The sequence below is a fragment of the Homo sapiens genome, chromosome 6 (genome assembly GCF_000001405.40).
Source record: "Homo sapiens chromosome 6, GRCh38.p14 Primary Assembly".
NCBI classification, from domain to species: Eukaryota; Metazoa; Chordata; class Mammalia; order Primates; family Hominidae; genus Homo; species Homo sapiens.
In genome coordinates this window covers 27712067-27733862 of record NC_000006.12, presented here as the reverse complement: position 1 = coordinate 27733862, position 21796 = coordinate 27712067, and the positions used below count along the sequence as shown (strand labels likewise).

Genomic DNA, 21796 nt, shown 5'->3' with positions numbered 1-21796 from the left:
GATAAAGATATATAACACAAAGGTTAGGCTGGGTGTGGTAGCTCATACCTGTAATTCCAGAACATTGCAAGGCTGAGGCAGGTAGATCACTTGAGGCCAGGAGTTCAAGACTGGCTTGGCCAAAATGGTGAAACCCTGTCTCTTACTAAAAATACAAAAATTAGCCAGGTGTGGTGGCCCACCCCTATAGTCCCAGCTACTCAGGAGGCTGAGGCATGACAATCGTTTGAACCCAAGAGGCAGAGGTTGTAGTGAGACAAAATCACGCCATTGCACTCCAGCCTGGGTGACAGAGTGAGTCTCAAAAAATAAATAAAATAAATAAAATAAAATAAAGTTAAAAACAACAACAACCAAAAAAAAAAAAAACCCCACAAAGGCGAACCATAAAAAAATTAACATAAAACGTATGTATTAACATAAAGTGTAGATTTTAAGACAAGGAGTATTACCATAGAGACGTGACATAATAAAAAAGAAAAGGAGGCATTTCACAGTGATGAAACAGAGACATTTTATAAAACAGAAACGTGAATGCTACATGTGTAGCATTCAATATATATTGTATATATTCAATAATATATAACGATAATAAAAATGACATGAAAACTATGTCAACACAAAAGTCTATCACAATTATTTGTAATCCTTTATTTATAATAGCAAAACACTAGAAAACTACTAAAATGTACCTCAATAGGTAGATGGTTAAAGAAACTGTGGTACATCCATACTATAAACAACTACTCAACAATTAAAAGGCAGGAACTGTTGATACAACAAATTGGATGGATCTCAAGGGCATTAGGCTGTGAAAAAGGCCATCCTTTTTTTTTTTTTTTAACACAGAATCTTGCTCTGTCACCCAGGCTGGAGGGCAGTGGCGCCATCTCCACTCACTGCAACCTCCGCCTCCTGGGTTCAAGCAGTTCTCATGCTTTACCCTCCCGAGAAGCTGGGGCTACAGGCATGAGCCACCATGTCCAGCTAATTCTTGTATGTTTAGTAGAGATGTGGTTTCACCATGTTGGCCGGGCTGGTCTTGAACTCCTGGCCTCACGTGATCCACCTGCCTCGGCCTTTCAGAGTGCAGGGATTACAGGCATGAGCCACCGCACCTGGCCTATTTCTATAACATTCTAAAAACAAAATAAAAAACAGAGATTAAGAACACATTAGGCCTGGCCCGGTGGTTCATGCCTATAATCCCAGCACTTTGGGAGGCCGAGGTGGGCGGATCACCTGAAGTCAGGAGTTCAAGAACAGCCTGGCCAACATGGTGAAACCCTGTGCCTACTAAAAATACAAAAAATAGTCAGGTGTGGTGGCACGTGCCTGTAGTCCCAGCTACCTGGGAAGCTGAGGCACGAGAATGGCTTGAACCTGGGAGGCAGAGGTTGCAGTGAGCTGAGGTTGCGCCACTGCACTCCAGCCTGGGCAACAGAGTGACACTGTCTCAAAAAAAAAAAGAACATATTAGTAGTTGTGGTGGGGTGGGTGCCATGGGAAGTGAGTGTAACTAATTAAGTGGTGGCACCCGCAGGGAAATCTTTGTTGTGATGAAACTTTTTTTTCTGGTTTCCAGTGATAGTTACACAAATCTACACATGATAAAATGACCTAGAACTATATACAAACAATGTACCAATGTCAGATTCTTGGGTTTGATATTGTACTATAGTTATATAACATGCAGCCATTGGGGGGAACTAAATTAAGGGTACAGGGGACTTCTCTGTACTTTCTTTGTAATGGCCTGTAAATCTATAATTATTTCAAAATTAAAAATTTAAAAACCTGATGGTAGTGGGGCATGGTGGCCCACATTGGTAATCCCAGCTACTCAGGAGGCTGAGGCAGGAGAATCACTTGAACCCGGGAGGCAGAGGCTGCAGTGAGTTGAGATCGCACCACAGTACTTTAGCCTGGGCAATAGAGCGAGACTCCATCTCAAAAAAAAGAAAAGTAATAAGAATGTTCTCTAATCAATACAGAATTAAACTAGAAATCAGTAACAGAAACAAAGGAAAATATCCCCAAATGCTTGGGGAAATTACATCTCACTCCCAAACAACCTATGGGTTAAAGATAAGTTACAAGAGAAATTAGAAAATAGTTTGAACTAAAAATAATAAAGTACATCATATCCAAACTTATTGACAGCTGCTAACACTGTTCTTGGATAGAAAGCTATAGATTTATATACATAAATTATCCAGTCGGGCATGTAAGAAGCTACAAGTCATCACTAAGTCCTAAAAACAAGTAAAACCTGAATAAACTGAAAACCCAAGTCTTTTTAGGTCTGTCAGAAAAAATGAGGTCACAGGGCAAGCCACTGCTCCCAAAATTGAAAAAGACAAATACAGAGAATCACAACTTACCAGAGAAGAAACCGACAGAACAGACACCATGTGAACTAGCGCTGGAGCAGGGAAACCTGAACTCTAATTAGCAAATTGTTGGTGGCTCAACATTGGCGAGTCTAGGAGATAAAAACTCCAGAACTCAGTCATCTGTACCCCACGATTTTGTTAATTTTACCTCAGGAGCTTGACCAGATTGTCATAGTGAATATGGGAGAAAAATCCCCTCTATCTCTGGTAGCAGGTGGGTCAAGAACCAGTTTGCAATTGGCCAGAGCATTTTGTTCTCTTAATAAGGTCTGCCCTCAGGAGAAACCATTTAACCTCAGCCTAACCTGCTGGGGTTTTATCAGAGCCCATCTGATCTGCGGGAAGGGAAATAACCAATTCCAGCCCACTCTAGCCATCCAGTCCCACCTAAAGTGGGGGAAAACCTAGGAAGCATGTTTAAAGTTGACAGTCCAGAGACACAGGTTCACTAACAGACTGAGACCTACTTGTGGGACTACAGAATGCTTTATTCCCCCCACACCTTCCCACAACATTACTAAAGACCTGCTTATAGCACCTCACTTTACCCAGTGGAGCATGTCCTGCTGTCAAGAAAAAATAACAAGGCACAATAAAAAGCAAAATACACAGAAGAGACAGAGCAAGCATCAGAATCAGACTCAGATATGACAGGGATGTTGGAATTCTCAGACGAGGAATTTGAAACAACTGATTAAGATGCTAGGGGCTTTGGCCAGGCGAGGTGGCTCACACCTGTAATCCCAGCACTTTGGGAGGCTCAGGTGGGCGGATCACATAAGGCTAGGACTTCCAGACCAGCCTGACCAACATGATGAAACCCCGTCTCTACTAAAAATACAAAAAAAATTAGCCAAGCCTGGTGGTACATGTCTGTAATCCCAGCTACTTAGGAGGCTAAGGCATGAGAATTGATTGAACCCATGAAGCAGAGATTGCAGTGAGCCACTGCACTGCATCCTGGGTGACAAAGCGAGGCTCTGTCTCAAAAAAAAAGAAAAAACAAAGACGCGAAAGGCTCTAATGTATAAAAAAGATGGCATGCAAGAACAGATGGGCAATGTAAGCAGAGAGATGGAAATTCTGAGAAAGAGCCAAAAAGACGTGCTAGTGATCAAAAACACTATAACATCAAGATAATGAAAAGACAAGCCACACAGTGGGAGAAAATATTTGCTAAAGATATACCAGATAAAGTACTCTTATTCAAAATCTACAAAGAGCTCTTAAAATTCAACAGTAAGAACACAACCTCATGAAAAAAAAAAATGGCCAAAGACCTTAACAATCATGTGACCAAAGAAGATATACAGATGAAAAATAAGCATATGAAAAGGTGTTCCGCATCATATGTCATCAGGCAAATGAACATTAAAACAAAAATAAGATATCACTACACACCTATCAGAACAGCTAAAGTCCAGAACACTGACAACAGCAAATTTTGGTGAGGCTTTGGACTAACAGGAACTCTGATTCATTCCGGGTGGAATCACAAATGACACAGCTACTTTAAGAGACAGTTTGATGGTTTCTTGCAAAAGTAAACTTATTCTTCTCACACAATCCAGTTGTACTCCTTGGTATCTAACCCAAAAGAGTTGAAAAATTATGTCCACATGAAAATCTGTACACAGATGTTTATAGCACCTTTATTCATAATTGCCAAAATTTGGAAGCAAACAATATTATTCAGTAAGTGTATGGATTAACTGTGATATATGTAAACAATGGAATATTATTCAGCATTAAAAAGAAATGAGATATCAACCCATGAAAAGACATGGAGGAAACTTAAATGCGCATTACTAATAAGCCAATCTGAAAAAGCAAATATTGTATAATTGTAATTATATGCCATTCTGGAAAGGCAAAACTATGAACACAGTAAAAAGATCAGTCGTTGCCAGGGTTTGTGAGGATGGAGGGATGAACAGCCCAAGCACAGAGAATTTTTAAGGCAGTGAAACTACTCTGCATGATACTATATTGGTGGGTATATATCATACTTTTGTGCAAATGGATAGAATGTACAACACCAAGAGTGAAGCCTAATGTAAACTCCGGTCTGTGGGTGATGATGGTATGTCAAGATAGGTCAACAATTGTAATGAATGTACTATTCTAGTGGGGCATGTTGATAGGGAGTTATGCATGTGCGGGGGCAGGGGGTATATGGGAAATCTCTGTACCTTCTGCTCAAAGTTTTGCTGCGAATCTAGAACCTCTCTTTAAAAAAAAGTCTATAAAATGCATATGTAAGAAAGAAGAAAGGTTTATGTTTGTGGAACTTTGTGAAGGGAAATGAAGCTTGGGACTTTAAGCTCGGTGGAGAATTGATTCAGAGAGTCAACCCTAGAATCGGTACGGACAGTCGTGAAGAACAGATATGAAGGGCCTGAACGAGGGACCTATCAACAACAGAGGAGAAGGACATTTTATAAAGTCTGAATGTAAGCTCAGTAGAATTTTGCAACGATTTTGACTCTAGGTGAGAGAGTGAGAAGGAATTCTGAGGTAAGCAGAAGGACAAATTCCAGTCATCACGTCAAGTAAGTAAACGTCAAATCTGGTCAGAGCCAAGATGTTTGAGATTTATCTTATGGAGGTTATAGTTTTAGTATAAGGCTCATAGAACTCAAATACTTAGCAATTTCTGGGTTTTGGATATTTCCTAATCTCGATGTGGTGCTTGTTTTGTACCAGTTTTAAAATGCGATTGTAGACACTGACTTGAATAGAAAGAAAACAAATTTCTAGGAAGGCGGGATGATTAATAGGGAATTCCTGATTAGGTCCAGCAGGATAGTTCCTTCTCTTAGGGGTTTCTATAATATGAGTTAGGGGTTTCCGTAGTGTAGTGGTTATTATGTTCGCCTCACACGCGAAAAGTCCCCGGTTCGAAATCAGGCGGGAACATTGTATTGTCCTCAGTTTTGTCTTCCTAAAACTTATAGCGACCGCTTGTCTTCCTAAAATTTACAGCGACCGTTTTTAGGACTCACGCTCTTAGAACCCCGTCCATTCGAATAAATGACTATACGCTTGTAAGTGGTTTACGCTGTGTAACTCAGTACTACGAATACGACTTGCTCTCTTCCTACACCAGATTTAAAGAGGGAGCCCCGTGGGAGCCCAAAGACAACAGGAGGCTAAAGGAAGAAGGAGCATATATCTATGTTGAAAGATCCCAGGCTGGTGCCATTTGATGGGATTTGGAAGGAGGTGGAGTTGCCTGAGAAAAGAGTAACTTGAATTGTATAAGAAATGTTACTTTGTTAGAGAAGACTAATAAAAGCATGACTTTCAGAATTCTTTTTATACTGGAACATTTCCCTGCTTAGTACTTTTTTTTTTTTTTTTGAGATAGAGTCTTGCTCTGTTGCCCAGGCTGGGGTGCAGTGGCTGTAACCTCCGCCTCCTGGGTTCAAGCGATTCTCCTGCCTCAGCCTCCCAAGTAGCTGAGACTACAGGCGTGCGCCACCACGCCTGGCTACTTTTTGTATTTTTAGTGGAGACGGGGTTTCACTATATTGGCCAGGCTGCTCTCACACTCCTGACCTTGTGATCCGCCCACCTCAGCCTCCCGAAGTGCTGGGATTACAGGCGTGAGCCACCGCGCCTCACCCCTGATTAGTACTTTTAAGTGCTCAAGCCTTCTAGCTGTACTTGATATCATTGACTATCACTTTAGATTTCACTCCATTTCAAGGTGTCTCTAAAATCCAGTCTTTTGACAAATAACCACATTCCCAATCAGGACCGTCTTCCCAGTCACGACTGTCTTCATGGGCATGCGACCTACGCATTTGCACAAGGCCAGGCACTTGATTTAATGCTCTGCTATTGCTGGTTTGAAATTCCTAATTTCCTTAAACAAGGAACATTTCCATTTTGCACTGCACTCATCAATTACGTAACTGGTTTTTCTCCTAAATGCTCACAAAGGAGTAATCATCCAATGTAATCATTCCTTACAGGGAGAAGCAAAAAGCTGAGCGCAATACTGCAACAAGGAATGTTATGAGGGAAGGCATTTGTAGAATGTGATACTTTGAAGATATAACTGATAATTTTTTTTTCTTTAAAGAGCAGCTAAAACATAGCACTGTATCCAGGGTTTGATTAATTTTTTCCATCATTTTATTTTTATCTGTCTAATAAATGATCCACAACTTCAGGCCCCATTTGCTTCCAGCCTCTTGTTAGGTTTTTTGTTTTTGTTTGTGTTTTCTTTTGGTGTTTCACTAATCATTCTTCTTATCCTCTCAAGACGTTGTCATGTTACTCCACTTTTCAATATATTCAGTGAAATTCTAGAGTTCAGAATCATGCAAGGAGGAAGTTATCACAACACTCAATTTATACCATATGTATGTCTCATCTCCTTCCTTGCCTTCCTTTTGAATTGTATTAAAAGCAAAAATGTTACGTGAAGCTGTAAGTTCCTTAGAAATATGAAAAGTAGCTACAAAAATTTAAACGTAGAAAATTGCAGCTCAATTCTAGATGGTTCTAGACGGTTGGTCTCTGGCATAGATTTAGCTAATTCATCGTAAATATTTCCAACCCATCACCACGTTCCTCTACAAAGTGCCTCAGACATCGAGATTCAAGGTTTGCTGCTTTATTAGGTATACATCTAAGTCAGGTTTAACTAGTGACAAGAATTTACCTAAGTTTAGGGGAAGAAATAAAGAGGCCTCGCTGGGATTCGAACCCAGGATCTCCTGTTTACTAGACAGGCGCTTTAACCAGCTAAGCCACGAAGCCTCACCTGTGTTGTGTAGGGGTAATTTATTATTTTATAAAAATTTACACCTCGGCCTGTCAATGTTTCTACCTCAGTGACTTTCTTTGTAGTAACACAATACCACATTTCTGGATCTCAGTCAAAACCAGAGAATAATGTTCTTGCTGTAGAATAAGAATAGGTGCTGAATTAAGAAGACTGTTTTCCTTTAGGAAACTGCTCTAAATGTCAAGAACACCTCCAGACGATAAGCTCTGGCGGCCAGGTAGAAAACTTGCTTGGTTTTGAGAACAATTACATCTCCTATGCCTGGCAGTGAATTTGCCTTCTGATGAACTCTCATTTCATTTGTTCATTCAGTGGGTAAGTGGTAACAGGAAAAACACTCTCTCTACATTTTTCTTTAACTTGGCCCCCAATGATTCTGCCTGTCCAGCATGCAGAATATAGTCACCCTGGCCACGTCTGACTTCTTTGCAACATGAACTCGACCTCTAGGATGGCGTTATCAAAATCAGGTAAAGGTGCAGATTAAATTCCTTGGGTAAATTTTTTCGGCCGGGCGTGGTGGCTCACGCCTGTAATCCCAGCACTTTGGGAGGCCGAGGCGGGCGGATCACGAGGTCAGAAGATTGAGACCATCCTGGCTAACGTGGTGAAACCCCGTCTCTACTAAAAATACAAAAAATTAGCCAGGGGTGGTGGCTGGCCCCTGTTAGTCCCAGCTACTCGGGAGGCTGAAGCAGGAGAATCGCTTGAACCCGGGAGGCGGAGCTTGCAGTGAGCCAAGATCGCGCCATTGCACTCCAGCCTGGGTGACAGAGCGAGACTCCGTTTCAAAAAAAAAAAAAATTTTTTTCAAATAAGGTTCTACTTAGTTTGAACATCTATGTACTTAAGATACAAGTTACCTGTCTCCCAACTACAGGCACAGGAGACATAGGATAATCTCGATACACAATCCTATTCAAAAAGAACAAAAACAAGAGGAAAAAGAAAAACAAAAAACAAAAAACAAGAGTCACACTGGTCTGTAGCAATTGTAGAATTCAGTGGGCACATAACGCTAGTGCGTTGATTGGAACTCAGTAATGCCGTCTGAGAATGACTCCCTAGGCTCTTTGGTCCATCTCCTGGGATCTTATTCCACACTCAGATTCATTCATTCTTTTAATAAGAAATATCATTTACTTGCAGCTGAATGGTTTTCTTAGCCTACTTCTTTCCCATAGTAGTCTGGGAGGAAGAGGGGTGAGGTCCAAATTCTTTTCATTTTATGCTGTCCTTTATTCCTTTCAGTCCAGACTGTCAATGTTCAAATACTCTAATTTTCTTCAAAAAATGTGACTTTATGAAAGTTACTGAAGTTTATTCCTTTAGACCAGGGGTTCACAAACTATAGCCCACAGGCCAAATCTGGACTTATATCTGTTTTTATAAAGCTTTATTGGAACATAACCACGTTCATTCATTTAGCATTATCTGTAGCTGCTTTCCTGCAACAGCTGATTTGTGTAATTGCCACATCAACTGAATGGCCCACAAAGCCTAAAATATTTACTATCTGGGTCTTTAAAGAAAAAGTTTTCCAGGCCAGAAGCAGTGGTTCACCCCCATAATCCCAGCACTTTGGGAGGCCAAGACAGGAGGATCACTTGAGCCCAGGAGTTTGAGACCAGCCTGGCCAACCTGGTGAAAACCCCTCTTTACTAAAAATACAAAAAAAAATTAGCCGGGTATGGTGGTAGTCCCAGCTACTTGGGAGGCTGAGGCAGGAGAATCACTTGAACCTGGCACGTGGAGGGTGCAGTGAGCCAAGATCGAACCACTCACTGCCCTCCAGCCTGGGCAACAGAGCCGGACTCTGCCTCAATAAAAAAAATTTTTTTTAAAGTTCGCCAATCTCTTTTAAAACAAAAGCCACATTCATGAAAATAATGCCTTGTCTCCCTTTGGCTTCCCATAAAACTGCAGTAGGGCCACAGTCTTAAGAGTTGTAGAGTTATTGTTTAAACTATAGGATCCTTAAGGTATGTCCTTAAGAACCTCAGGGGTTTGTTTAGATACCACCTTAAGTCTCTCTGTGGTATTAATAAAGGACTTACAATAACACCCTTGGCTTCATCTTTAGACCACATTTTCTGATCGTACTCTAGACAATAAGCTAAAACATTTGTAAGACTCACCTCATTTATTTCTCTTCTCTCAGGTATCGCAGTCCCAAACTGACAGCAGGCGATGCCTGAAAACAGTTATTTCACATACTTATGTCCAGTATATTTTTCTTGTTGTTTGCAATTTTCCTAACAGTGACTTCTTCACAGGTAGAAGCAGAAACCCATATCTCTTTTATTGGTGTTCTTTTTCAATAGTATTATAATTTCAAGTTCCATCCACATTATTGCATGTATATCTACTCTGTTACTTTTTATATTGCTTAATAGCCTATGGTGTGCATTTATAACAGTTTACCTGTCCACTTTCCAATAATAAATATTAAATTTTCTTTCAATTTCAAAAGACTAAAATAAGGCTGTGATTAACTTTATCACATGTGTACTCTCGGTAGTTGTGTAAGATTTGAGGCAGTGGATAGGGTGGGGGAAGATTTATGCCTAGGAGCAGAGCAGTTACATCATAGAATGTGAATATACTTAATTTGAATAAGAAGTACTCCAGAATGGCTTCATTAATTTAAACTTCGACTGGCAGGACAGGAGGGTTCTTTTATCACTAGTCCTGCAAAAATTGATTTTATTCAGCTTCTAGTTTTGCCAATGTAATGACAGTAAATGCGATATATCTTTTTACTTTTTATTTCTGTGATTACTAAAGGTTTTGTGCAATCTTTGTTAGTCATGACATATTTCTTTCCTTTAATTGCCTGTCCTATCTTTTGTTCATTTCCTTTTGATCTTGCTGTCCTTCTCTTGCAGATTTTCATGGCTTCTTGATATATATTAAGCCCTTGCCATTTTTGGAGACAATTCAAACATATTCTCCCATTAGTGCATCTATCTACATATTTATTTTTCTACTGTATCCTTTACCTTACATATTCTTGATTTTTTAATTTAAGATTTTTTTTAGCCGGGCGCGGTGGCTCACGCCTGTAATTCCAGCACATTGGGAGGCCGAGGCGGGGGGATCACCTGAGGTCAGGAGGTGGAGACCACCCTGACCAACATGGAGAAACCCCTGTCTCTACTAAAAATACAAAATTTGCCAGGCATAGTGGTACATGCCTGTAATCCCAGCTACTCGGGAGGCTGAGGCAGGAGAATCGCTTGAACCTGGGAGGCGGAGGTTGCGGAGGGCTGAGATCGCGCCATTGCACTCCAGCCTGGGCAACAAGAGCGAAACTCCGTCTCAAAAAAAAAAAAAAAAAAAAAGATTTTTTTAAAGGTGGGGGTTTTGCTATGTTGGCCAGACTGGCACTGAACTCCTAGGCTCAAGCAACCCTCCTGCCTCAGTCTCCCCAGTAGCTAGACTACAGTGGCTATATTCTTGATTTTAATGTAAGCAAATATGTCTTCTTTGTTTTTTGCCTTATGGTTTGTGCTTTTGAAGTTTTCAAAAGTTTTCTGTCTCCTGGGTATAAGGATGTTCTCCTTCATATACATTTTTTTTTTTTTTTTTTTTTTGAGACGGAGTCTCGCTCTGTCGCCTAGGCTGGAGTGCAGTGGCACAATCTGGGCTCACAGCAACCTCCACCTCCCCAGCTCAGGCGACTCTCCTGCCTCACCCTTCCGAGTAGCTGGAATTACAGGCATGCGCCACCATGCCCAGCTAATTTTGTATTTTTACTAGAGACGGGGTTTCGCCATGTTGGCCAGGCTAGTCTCCAACTTCCGACCTCAGGTGATCTGCCCGCCTCGGCCTGCCAAAATGCTGGGATTATAGCTGGAGCCACTGAGGCCGACCATCCTTCATATACTTCGAATAGTTTTCTTTTTTACTGTCACATGTAGATATTTAAACCCTCTATATAAGTATACTTTAAAAATCTTCACAGCTGATTGATTCTGCTCTGTAGTTTCAGAGCTAACAGCAATAGAATATTCTGAACATTTTTATGTCTATCTATTTATGATGGTTTCTTTCTCTGATATGCTTTTCATGGAACCTTCCAGTCACCTCCATTCCCATCCTCAAGTCAGTTCTTGCCCCAGCAGCAAGAGACCTGAATTTCCTTCAGTGTTTGGTAGAAGCGGGAATCTCTCAGGCCGTATCTCTTCTTCTAGGAATGGAACCTTGATCTGGCCAGAGACAGAACCCAGAGCCCAACAGCCAAAGGACTTCAGGGGTCCATTCCTTTCCCATGGCTTCATCAGGCAGATAAAGATCCTGATGTGGACCCAAGCAGTCCTGAGCATCACAAATAAGACCTGGACTCCTGTTTCCTCAGCTGATGAGATTCTGAGGAGATGTTCTCTGACTTTCTTTGCTTGTCTGCTGCAGACCACACAACCTTTGCATATTGTGGTGCTTTCCTCTGATTACCTGAAAAACAAAGGGGCACGCCACACACTAGGTGTTCAGTATTGTTACATAAATTAATTATATTCCAACCCTACTTCAGGATTTCATTTCAGCTCTGTGTCCTCCAGACCCTAAACTTCCTTTCTACGAGCTTATTTCATGAGTTTTTAAATTCCCCATGACAGCTTTAGCACCCTTCACTGAGTGCCGTTTAGCAGACTATTGAAGTTAGAATTACTTGAGGGTGCTTGGTAAGATTAAGATTCTTGGGACCCATAGTAAATCGCTTTAGTCAGGATCATTGCACGAGGGGTTCTAGAATCCACATTTGTAATAAGTCCCCCAGGAGATACTTTAGCCACAAGAATTGGATTCTCTGTTGTAACAATTGCGAGCTTTTCCGGGAGCACTTAGAGTTCTGGGGCGGCGTATTTCTGTGCAGCCCACACACAGCTCAATATGGTCCTTTTGTTGATAGGTTGCATTGTCAGTTTAAAGCATTTTGTCACTAAAATCAAAGAATTTGAACTGCCTTTCTGTCCACTAAAGATCTTAAAATTTACCCCAGCATGAACTCGTTTTAATATAATAAAACTTGGGCCCCCAGTCCTGATGCCTCCAATGACATCAGTGTGTCTGGGGTGGAGGTTTGAATTCAGCAGGCAAAACAGTGATCTCTGAAGAAAAAATCGGGACAGTGCCTTTAGTGAAGTAGAAGTAGTAGGTGGTGTTAATGCTGTGGTTTCCACTAGGGCACTCCCTCCCCTCATCTCTCCACCCTTCCCCTCCAACCGCTCCCTTGTTTTTCTTTTCAAATCAGGTACAAACAAAAATTTCTCCGGAAATTTTTGACCAAGTGAGGAGACTCAGGAGAAGTGATTGATGAACACATGCTGTGTTTTCCTATTATATCCTCCTTATATTTTAATACAATTCAGTAAAAACAGGAATAATTCGGTACTTCCTTGACTCTCAGTGCAAATGCCTTTGTTGTTATAAAAAAATGATTGCCTTGAAACTTGCCCCAGTCACCGGGATGGCCGAGTGGTTAAGGCGTTGGACTTAAGATCCAATGGGCTGGTGCCCGCGTGGGTTCGAACCCCACTCTCGGTAGGTTAAGTTTTCGACTCCTTTCAATACCAGCATTTAAAAAGTACGCGAAGGTAACTTAATTGTTTCTCTACCCCTTTGCGTTAACACTGACGTTTTTTTGTCTTCAAATCTAAAGAAATCGCCTCAACAGGCAGTAGTGTGTGAATGATTCTCTACCACAACCTATCAGATTGCCAATAGAAGGAAAAATCCCTCATATCCACCGCTCACATCCATGGCCTACTCCAGGATTTTCAATTCCACCAGGAACTGAACCTCTGAGGCTATTTGACCGGAAGGCCACAGGTAAGAAACTCTAGTTCTAGGTACCTCCCAGGAAATAAGAGCCACTCCCCAGGATTTTCATAGTTTCCAAATGATTGTACAAGAAAAGCCCAACCCTTAGCTAGGGCTGTCTCTCACACACTCTGAAGAGCATGGTTGAGTCCTTCTCAACAGAGTTTATCTTGTTTTTTCCAGTTTGAAATGTGAAAATGATCCCTCAGGGAGTTTTATTTTGCATTTAACTGGTTATATTGTCCTTGAGCACCTTTTTATATGTTTAAAAGCCATTTGTATTTCCTTTTCTGTTACATGCATAGTATTCTGTGCTAATTTTTCTACTTAGTTGTTAGGTCTTTCTCTTATGATTTGTAGGGTCTCTTTAAATATGGCTTGATTAAACTTTGTTTTGACATGAATCACAAGTAGTCTAGTTTGTTGTCTTTGAACTTTGGGGTGGCTTGGGACATGTGAAAATGGGTATCTATGCAACCACCAAAGTTATCAGTCTTTTCTTCAAGTTTTATGTTTAACTTAGATATGCCTTTCCCCATTATGAGGTCATTTCACAAAATAACTTTGTATCTTCTAGAATATTCTTTTTTACATTTAATTATTTGATCTCATTTTTCCTCTGGTGTAATATGTGAGGTAGAGATCCAACTCTGCATTAGTTCCAGCAGACTACCACTAATCCCAACACCATTACTGAATACTCATATTTCCCAGAGTGATTGAAATGACAGCATACTAAATTCTGTTGCCTTTAAAATTCATAGGACCTTGTGTCTCTAGGAGCATTTGAAAGAGTGGACTTTGGAACTCAGCAATCAGATGTCCTAATTCTGGCTTTCCCATTGAATCTCTGAATCTTGATTTCCTCATTTGTTAAATAAAAATAATAATCCCTACTTCATAGAAGGGAGTTGTAAGGATTAAAAGAAATATATATATATATATATATATAGTATCTAAGAAAATGCCTGGCAAATTTTAAAGTGCCCTTTCCCACTATATCGGTTAGTACCCTTTTCTCTTAGAAGAAACTCACACTTTCCTTTAGAGCCATCCTTCAGAGAAACTCAGAAATTAGATATTGTTCTGATAGTTAATTTGTTTCTATGTTGGATGATTATTGTCCTTATAGTTATGTTTCTAGGTTGAGATCAAACACCAAGATTCCACACTTGAAATTTATCTGATCCAGGTGGCAGCACAAATTGGGTCACTTTCATGAGCTGCCTCAGTGCTTTGAGTTTGTTCCTGGCCTTGAGAGGGTTGGGGATGTTGGGGCGCAGGGAAGGAAGCACCTTCTGAGAATGTTTATTTGCAACCTCACAGCCAGAATACTCAGGTTTGAGAAAGACTAAGTTCCCACAGAGGAGAATAATTCATCCCTAGCAAAGGTTGGTTTTCTTACTTTTATTTCTGTCACGTGGATGGGGTAGGAAAAAGAGGATGAGTGGTTTTGTTATGTTTCGAAATGAAACTCCAGATGATATGGTTTGGCTGTGTCCCCACCTAAATCTCATCTTGAATTGTAGCTCCCGTAATTCCCATGTGTTGTGGGAGATAATTGAATCACGGGGGCAGTTTCCCCCGATCTGTTCTTGTGGTAGTGAATAAGTCTCACAGGATCTGATGATTTCATAAGGGGTTTCCCCTTTCACTTGGCTCTCATGCTCTCTTGTCTGCTACCACCTAAGACGTGCCTTTCGCCTTCCACCATGATTGTGAGGCCTCCCCAGTCACGTGGAACTGTGAGTCCATTAAATCTCTTTTTCTTTATGAATTACCCAGTCTTGGGTATGTCTTTATCAGCAGCATGAAAATGGACTAATTCACCAGATGACATAGATTTTACCTGAATCAGATCTTTCTGAAAACACAGCAGTCTGTTTTCTGTGTGGTCTGTTAGCTCAGTTGTTTAGAGCGTAGTGCTGATGACATCAATATTAGGGAATGATCCCTACAGAAGTTAATTTATGTAACTTTTCCTAATGGAAGGGCCAACTGCAACCTAAAGTCACCACCCAATGCACACCTCTGCCACAAGAGATTTGAATCTATTGTATCTGTCACTTGGTTTTGTTATATTTGTCTGATTATTAGTGATGCTGAAAATTTCTACTCAACTCTAATTTCTGTTGGTTGTTTGTTTGTTGTTGTTGTTGTTGTTGTTGTTGTTTTTAGACAGTCTTGCTCAGTCACCCAGGCTGGCAGTGGGTGATGCTCACAGCAACCTCCGCCTCCTGGGTTCAAGCCATTCTCGTGCCTCAGAGGTTGTGGTAAGCTGAAATCGTGCCATTGCATTCCAGCCTGGGCAACAAGAGCGAAACTCTGTCTCAAAAAAAAAAAAAAAAGACGCTAATAATTAAATTTTAGATTAATAGAAGCATATATTCCCTAAGTATGTAATTACAATTATTTTTATTTTTTTGTTTCTCTACGTAAGTACAATTTATAAATACAGATATGTATTTGTAGATATTAATTTCACATTTACATATAACAATAGCTACCAATTCATTCCTTAAACTATTTTTTTTTTTTTGCAGCACACATCTAGTTACTAGGAATGCAGCAATGGGGGAAAAATATGTCCCCACTCTCCCAAGCTTTCTGGTGCAGAGGACCAGAAGAGGACCTCAAAGGTGTCTTGTCTTGTCTTTTCTTTGAGATGGAGATTTGCTCTTGTTGCCCAGGCTGGAGTGCAATGACACAATCTCGGTGGCTCACTGTAAGCTCCACCTCCCAGGTTCAAGCTATTCTCCTGCCTCAGCCTCCTGAGTAGCTGGGATTACAGGCATGCGCCACCACGCCCAGCTAATTTTGTATTTTTAGTAGAGACGGGGTTTCTCCATTTTGGTCAGGCTGGTCTCGAACTCCTGACCTCAGGTGATGCACCCGCCTCAGCCTCCCAAAGTGCTGGGATTACAGGTGTGAGCCACCGTGCCTGGCCAGCTGTCTTTTCTTTTTAAAGAGAAACAGAATCAACATTTTACATATACATATATAATATTTATGAGACCAACAAATCCCAAGATCTGCAGTCAGGAAGCTGGAGACCCAGGAGAGCCAGTGGTATAGATCCAGTTTGAAGGCCAGCAGGCTCAAAATCCAGGAACGGCCAGTGTTTCAGGTTGAGTTCAAAGGCAGAAATAAAACCAATGTCCCAGCTAAAAAACAGTCGGGCAGGAGGAATTCCCTCTTCTTCCTGGGAGGCCAGGCTTTTGTTCTAGTCAGGCTTGCAACTGACGGGATGAGGCCCACCCACATTGGGGAGGGTAATCTGCTTTATTCAGTTTTTTTTTAATTAAAATTTTATATTTTTAGAGACAAGGTCTCACTATGTTGTCCATGCTGGTCTCAAACTCCTAGGTTCAAGCAATTCTCCCACCTCCATGTCCTGAATTGCTGGGATTACAGGTGCAAGCCACCATGCCTGGCACAGTTTATTTATTTAAGAGTTAAACTCGGCTAGGTGCCATGGGTCACACCTGTAATCTCAGCACTTTGGGAGGCCGAGGTGGGCGGATCACTTGAGCTCACAAGTTAGAGACCAGCCTGAGCACTATGGTGAAACCCCTTCTCTACCAAAAATACAAAAAATTAGCCTGGTATGGTGGTGCAGACCTGTGGTTCCAGCTACTCAGGAGGCAGAGGCAGGAGAATCAAGCTTAGGAGGTGGAGATTGCAGTGAGCCATGATCGTGCCATTGCACTCCAGTCTGGGCAACACAATGAGACCCCCTCAAAATATAAATAAAAATTTAAGGCCGGGCGTGGTGGCTCATGTCTGTAATCCCAACACTTTGGGAGGCTGAGGCAGGTGGATCACCTGAGGTCAGGAGTTCGAGACCAGCCTAGCCAACATGGTGAAACCCAATCTCCACTAAAAATACAAAAATTAACTGGGCCTGGTGGCAGGTGCCTGTAATCCCAGCTACTTGGGAGGCTGAGGCAGGAGAATCGCTTGAACCTGGAGGCAGACGTTGTGGTGAGCCGAGATTGCACCATTGTACTCCAGCCAGGGCAACAAGAGTGAAACTCTGTCTCAAAAAAATAAAAATAAAAATTTAAATTTAAATTTAAAAATGTTAAACTCAGCCAGGCATGGTGGCTTACACCTGTAATTCCAGCACTTTGGAAAGTAGAGGTAGAGGGATTGCTTGAGACCAGGAGTTCAAGACCTGCTTGGGCAACATGGTGAAACCCTGTCTCTACAAAAAATAGAAAAATTGGCCAGGTGTGGTAGCACATGCCTGTAGTCCCAGCTACTCAGGAGGCTGAGGTGAGAAGATCACTTGAGCCCAGGAGGTTGAGGCTGCAGTGAGCGAAGATTGTACCACTGCACTCCAGCCTGGGTGACAGAGAGAGAGACCCTGTCTAAAAAATAATATTAACAATAATATTAATAAGTCAAACTCATCCAAAAATACACTCACAGAACACTCAGAATATTGATTGACCAAATATCTGGGCATATCATGGCCCAGTCTAATTAACACATAAAATTAACCATCACAATAGTTTAGTGTAAGAGAAAACAAAATTTAAAAATAAAGAACAATTTTCACCAAACTTAGCATAGTTACAATGAAAGAAACAGATGCAATATTTTTTGCTTAAATTTTTTTTGCCCAAGTCATATATATTCAGATGGTTCAAAAATGAGAAAGTATTAAAAGGCATAGAAAAAGTCTTTGGCCTTTCCTTTCCCCCATTCCCTCAATTCCCCCTACCACTTCTACCATAGTTTTTCTTTTCTTTTTTGTTTTGTTTTGTTTATTTTGAGACAGGGTCTCACTGTGTCATCCAAGCTAGAATGCAGTGGTGCAATCATGACTCACTGCAGGTTCAGCCTCCTAGGCTCAAGTGATCCTCCCATCTCTGCCTCCTGAGTAGCTGGAACTATAGGTATATGCCACCATATCTAGCTAATTTTTTAATTTTTTTGTAGAGATGAGATCTATGTTGCACAGGCTGGCCTTAAACTCCTGGGCTCAAGTGATCCTCCCACCTCAGTCACCAAAAGTGCTAGGATTACTGGCATGAGCCATCCTTCCTAGCTTACTTTAGTTTTTAAATGCATTCTTCCTGATTTTATGAAACTTGCAAATTATTCTGCAGCTCTTTTTCTCAATATATTTTGGAAATCTCTATTTTATCAGTGATTAGTTACAAATAGCACATTTAAATTTGCATCTGCACAAAACAGGAGCTTATTTTCAAATGAGTTTATCCAACCAGGCAGGAGTACAATCTGCAAACTTCTTTTCCATTGCACCTCTAAACAAGGGAACAAGAACAAATGTAGATTTATTGGAACTCAAAGGAAGAAGAGAAAATGACATCCTTAATTGTTTTTGATCCAGTGAGAAATAAAACACTTTTTGCCTAAAGCAATGTAGTATTCAACAATACCTGAAGTAGGGAATTAGAAGCAGCTGGTGATCAAAGGAAATGTTACATTAATTCAACAAATATTTATTGACCTTTTTCTTCACACTGCAATATTTAGCTATCTATTTTCTTTAAGTAAAGGTGTTCAAGAAATAGCATTAAGTTTTTAAAAAAAAAGATCCAAAAATTTTTAATAGGATAGCAAATCCCCCCCTGCCCCAACTTTGTTTTTTGAGATGGGGTCTCACTCTGTCACCCAGGCTGGAATGCAGTGGAGCAATCTCAGCTTACTGCAACCTCTGCCTCCCAGCTTCAAGCGATTCTCCTGCCTCAGCCTCCCAAGTAGCTGAGATTACAGGTGGCGCCACCACATCCAGATAAATTTCTTTTTTTTAATTTTTGTATTTTTAGTAGAGATGGGGTTTTGCCATGTTGGCCAGGCTGCTCTTAAAACCCTGAGCTCAAGGAATCCTCCTGCCTCAGCCTCCCAGAGTGCTGGGATTACAGGCGTGAGCCACTGTGCCCAGCCAAAGACAATCCCTTTTTAAAAACATACACAACATATACACACAACACATGTATATAAATGTCTAGAAGTGTATGTGTATATATGTATACACACACACACTCACACACATATGCCACCCATATATATACAGTAAAATGTGCTTTACATGCTTAACAGTGTTTATCTTTGGAATGTGGGGGGAATATATACATATACTCAGTCATATTTTTAATATTTTTAAGCAAAAATATAGGATTTTTAAGCAAAAATCCTATTTAATGCCTTGGTAGCTCAAGGCTGCTGCTCAGAGTTCCTTACCTTGAACAGCAGTTATCCAACCTACAGTCCATATTCAGTATTAATGATGAAGGTAAAAACAGTTGAAAATCAGAACAGTTAACATTCCAGTTGATTTACCAGGATTCTATTAATTTGGTTATATAGACAGGAGAATTCTTCTGAAGGTGGCTACTCCCTGGTAAAAAGATGAACTTCCTCTCAGAAGGCAGTGGGGTAAAGAATTTAGGACAAGGACTCTGGAGATAGACTGTTAGTTTGGGCCTATCCAAATGGGTCTACTCTTTACCTAAGACCTTTAAAGGGGAAAAGTGCATGGACCTTGGAGCCCAACAGTCTTGTTTTCCAATTCTGGTTTTGCCACTTCCTCTCTCTAAGCTACAACATCTTCATTGTACTAACCCCTACTCTATAAAATAATTGTGAGGAAAGACACACACACACTCCCACATACATTGTATGTCACATACTGCCTGATAAATAGTAAGTGCTTAATAAATATTAGTTCCTTTACCCTAAAGAGAAAACCATCCTCATCCTTTATAAGCTGCCTTTCATGAAAATATTCCTGCTTTATTTCCATAGCCTTTAAAATATTCTAGACACTTATTTCTTTCTCTCTCTTTTTTTTTTTTTTTTTTTTTTTTTTGAGACAGAGTCTTGCTCTGTCACCCAGGCTCACCTGCAGTGGCATGATCTTGGCTCCCTGCAACCTCCACCTCCCAGGTTCCACAGGTTCAAGTGACTTTCATGCCTCAGCCTCCCAATGGGTGTGGGCCACCAAACCTGGCTAATTTTTGTATTTTTAACAGAGACAGGGTTTTGCCATGTTGTCCAGCTGGTCTCGAAATCCTGACCTCAAGTGATCTGCCCACCTATGTCTCCCTAAGTGCTGGGATTATAGGCATGAGCCATGGCACCTAGCCCTAGACATTTATTTCTTTTTTGTTTGTTTTTTATTGTTCATTTGTTTTTTGAGACGGAGTATCACTCTCACCCAGGCTGGAGTGCGGTGGCATGATCTTGGCTCACTGCGACCTCCGCCTCCCAGTTTCAAGCGATTCTCCTGCCTCAGTCTCCTGAGTAACTGGGACTACAGGTGGATGCCACCACACCCAGCTAATTTTTTTGTATTTTTAGTAGACGCTTCTGGAGGGAAGAGGATTTTTTATCAAAACCTAAACTTTACAGACAGAGGAGGAGTTCTGTTACGGACAACAAAATACCCCTGCAGAATAGGAAGCGCAGTAAGGGTAGGATTTATGGAGATGATAGAAAAGAGGCACCTGCATAATCTAGGAGCCAAAGCGTAAGATTGCCTATCTGCTTCTCTCTCAACACACACAATTCCACCCGTCTTCACTTTTCTCTGCCGTAAAACACATTTATTGTCCTGGGCTCTAGAAAAATGAGCAAGACCAGGGGAAGAAGTCAATTCTTTCCATAATCAGTGACACTAATCTTGGAGTAAGTGTGAGTGGCTGAGGCATCCCCAGTTATGGGTAGAGAGTCCTCTTCGGTGAGTTCACTCTTCTGCTTGGATCAATTTTGTCTTTTCTGAGGAAATAGTATCCATGTGGCTTGGTTGAGATGTTAAAACTCTGACAGCTCCACAGCACCGGGAATTGCGAAGGTAGAGGGCTCCTAGAAAACAGTAATTATACTGATGACTCAATGATGACAATTGCTAATTTTCAAATAGCTTAAGAGTCCAGGCACTAAAGTGTGAGTTACTCATGTACATTTTTATCATCACTCTAAAGATGTCCAGACTAGCTTCATGGGCATGTTAACTTCTACAGTTGCAAATGGCCCTGCACCCAGAAGAGCCCCACAATTGGTTCAATGCTCTGCTATCACCATCTGGAGATTGTTAATAATTTTTGAACAAGAGACTCTGTATTTTCATTTTACACTGGGCCTCACACATCATGCAGTTGGTCTGACAGAATGTCTTCAGACTTTTTCTATTGTCAAGAAAAGGAAACAATTCTTTCCCATACTCTGGATTCTATCCCTTTTTCGAGGTATGTTTGGTGCACAGGGATTGCTTCCCAATCCCTCTTCTGGTGTTCAGGTGGTAAAAGTGAAGTGCAGGGAAAAAAATCAAGAAAGGATTTTTTTTGGTCCTTTTTTTTTTGGAGAAGGATATATTTTTAAAAATAGGTCACTGAACCATAAGAAGTCATGTATGACTGGACATGGTGGTCACGCCTATAATCCCAACACTCTGGGAGGCCGAGTTGGGCAGATCACCTGAGGTCAGGAGTTCAAGACCAGCCTGGCTAACATGCCGAAAATTCGACTCTACTAAAAATACAAAAAAAATTAGCCGGGCTTGTTGGCGCTGCCTGTAATCCCAGCTACTCGGGAGGCTGAGGCAGGAGAATCGCTTGAACCCGGGAGGCAAAGGTTGCAGTCAGCTGAGACAGTGCCACTGCACCCCAGCTTGGGCAATGAAGAGACACTCTGTCACAAAACAAAACAAAACAAAACAAAGAAGTGATGAATGAGCATTCATGATCAGAAATCAAAGACAAAAAGGGGTAGATTACATGACTGGGTGTTGCTATAGCTTCCA

At 41.1% G+C, this 21796-nt stretch overlaps 2 non-coding genes across 2 annotated transcripts, besides 2 other annotated features; one reads left to right on the top strand and one right to left on the bottom strand.

Moving 5' to 3' along the window:
• Nucleotides 1-7095: 7095 nt before the first annotated feature.
• TRT-AGT4-1 (tRNA-Thr (anticodon AGT) 4-1) lies at nucleotides 7096-7169 on the bottom strand. The gene has a single exon. It is a non-coding gene; the product is annotated as a tRNA-Thr (tRNA).
• Nucleotides 12428-12497: an enhancer, noted in NCBI's record as "active region_24300". NCBI's record gives its function as "activates an Ori minimal core promoter by ATAC-STARR-seq in GM12878 lymphoblastoid cells {active_cell/tissue: GM12878}" and the evidence as "EXISTENCE:reporter gene assay evidence [ECO:0000049][PMID:35858748]".
• Nucleotides 12662-12744, top strand: TRL-TAA2-1 (tRNA-Leu (anticodon TAA) 2-1). Its single transcript has one exon. It is a non-coding gene; the product is annotated as a tRNA-Leu (tRNA).
• Nucleotides 14533-14612: an enhancer, noted in NCBI's record as "active region_24299". NCBI's record gives its function as "activates an Ori minimal core promoter by ATAC-STARR-seq in GM12878 lymphoblastoid cells {active_cell/tissue: GM12878}" and the evidence as "EXISTENCE:reporter gene assay evidence [ECO:0000049][PMID:35858748]".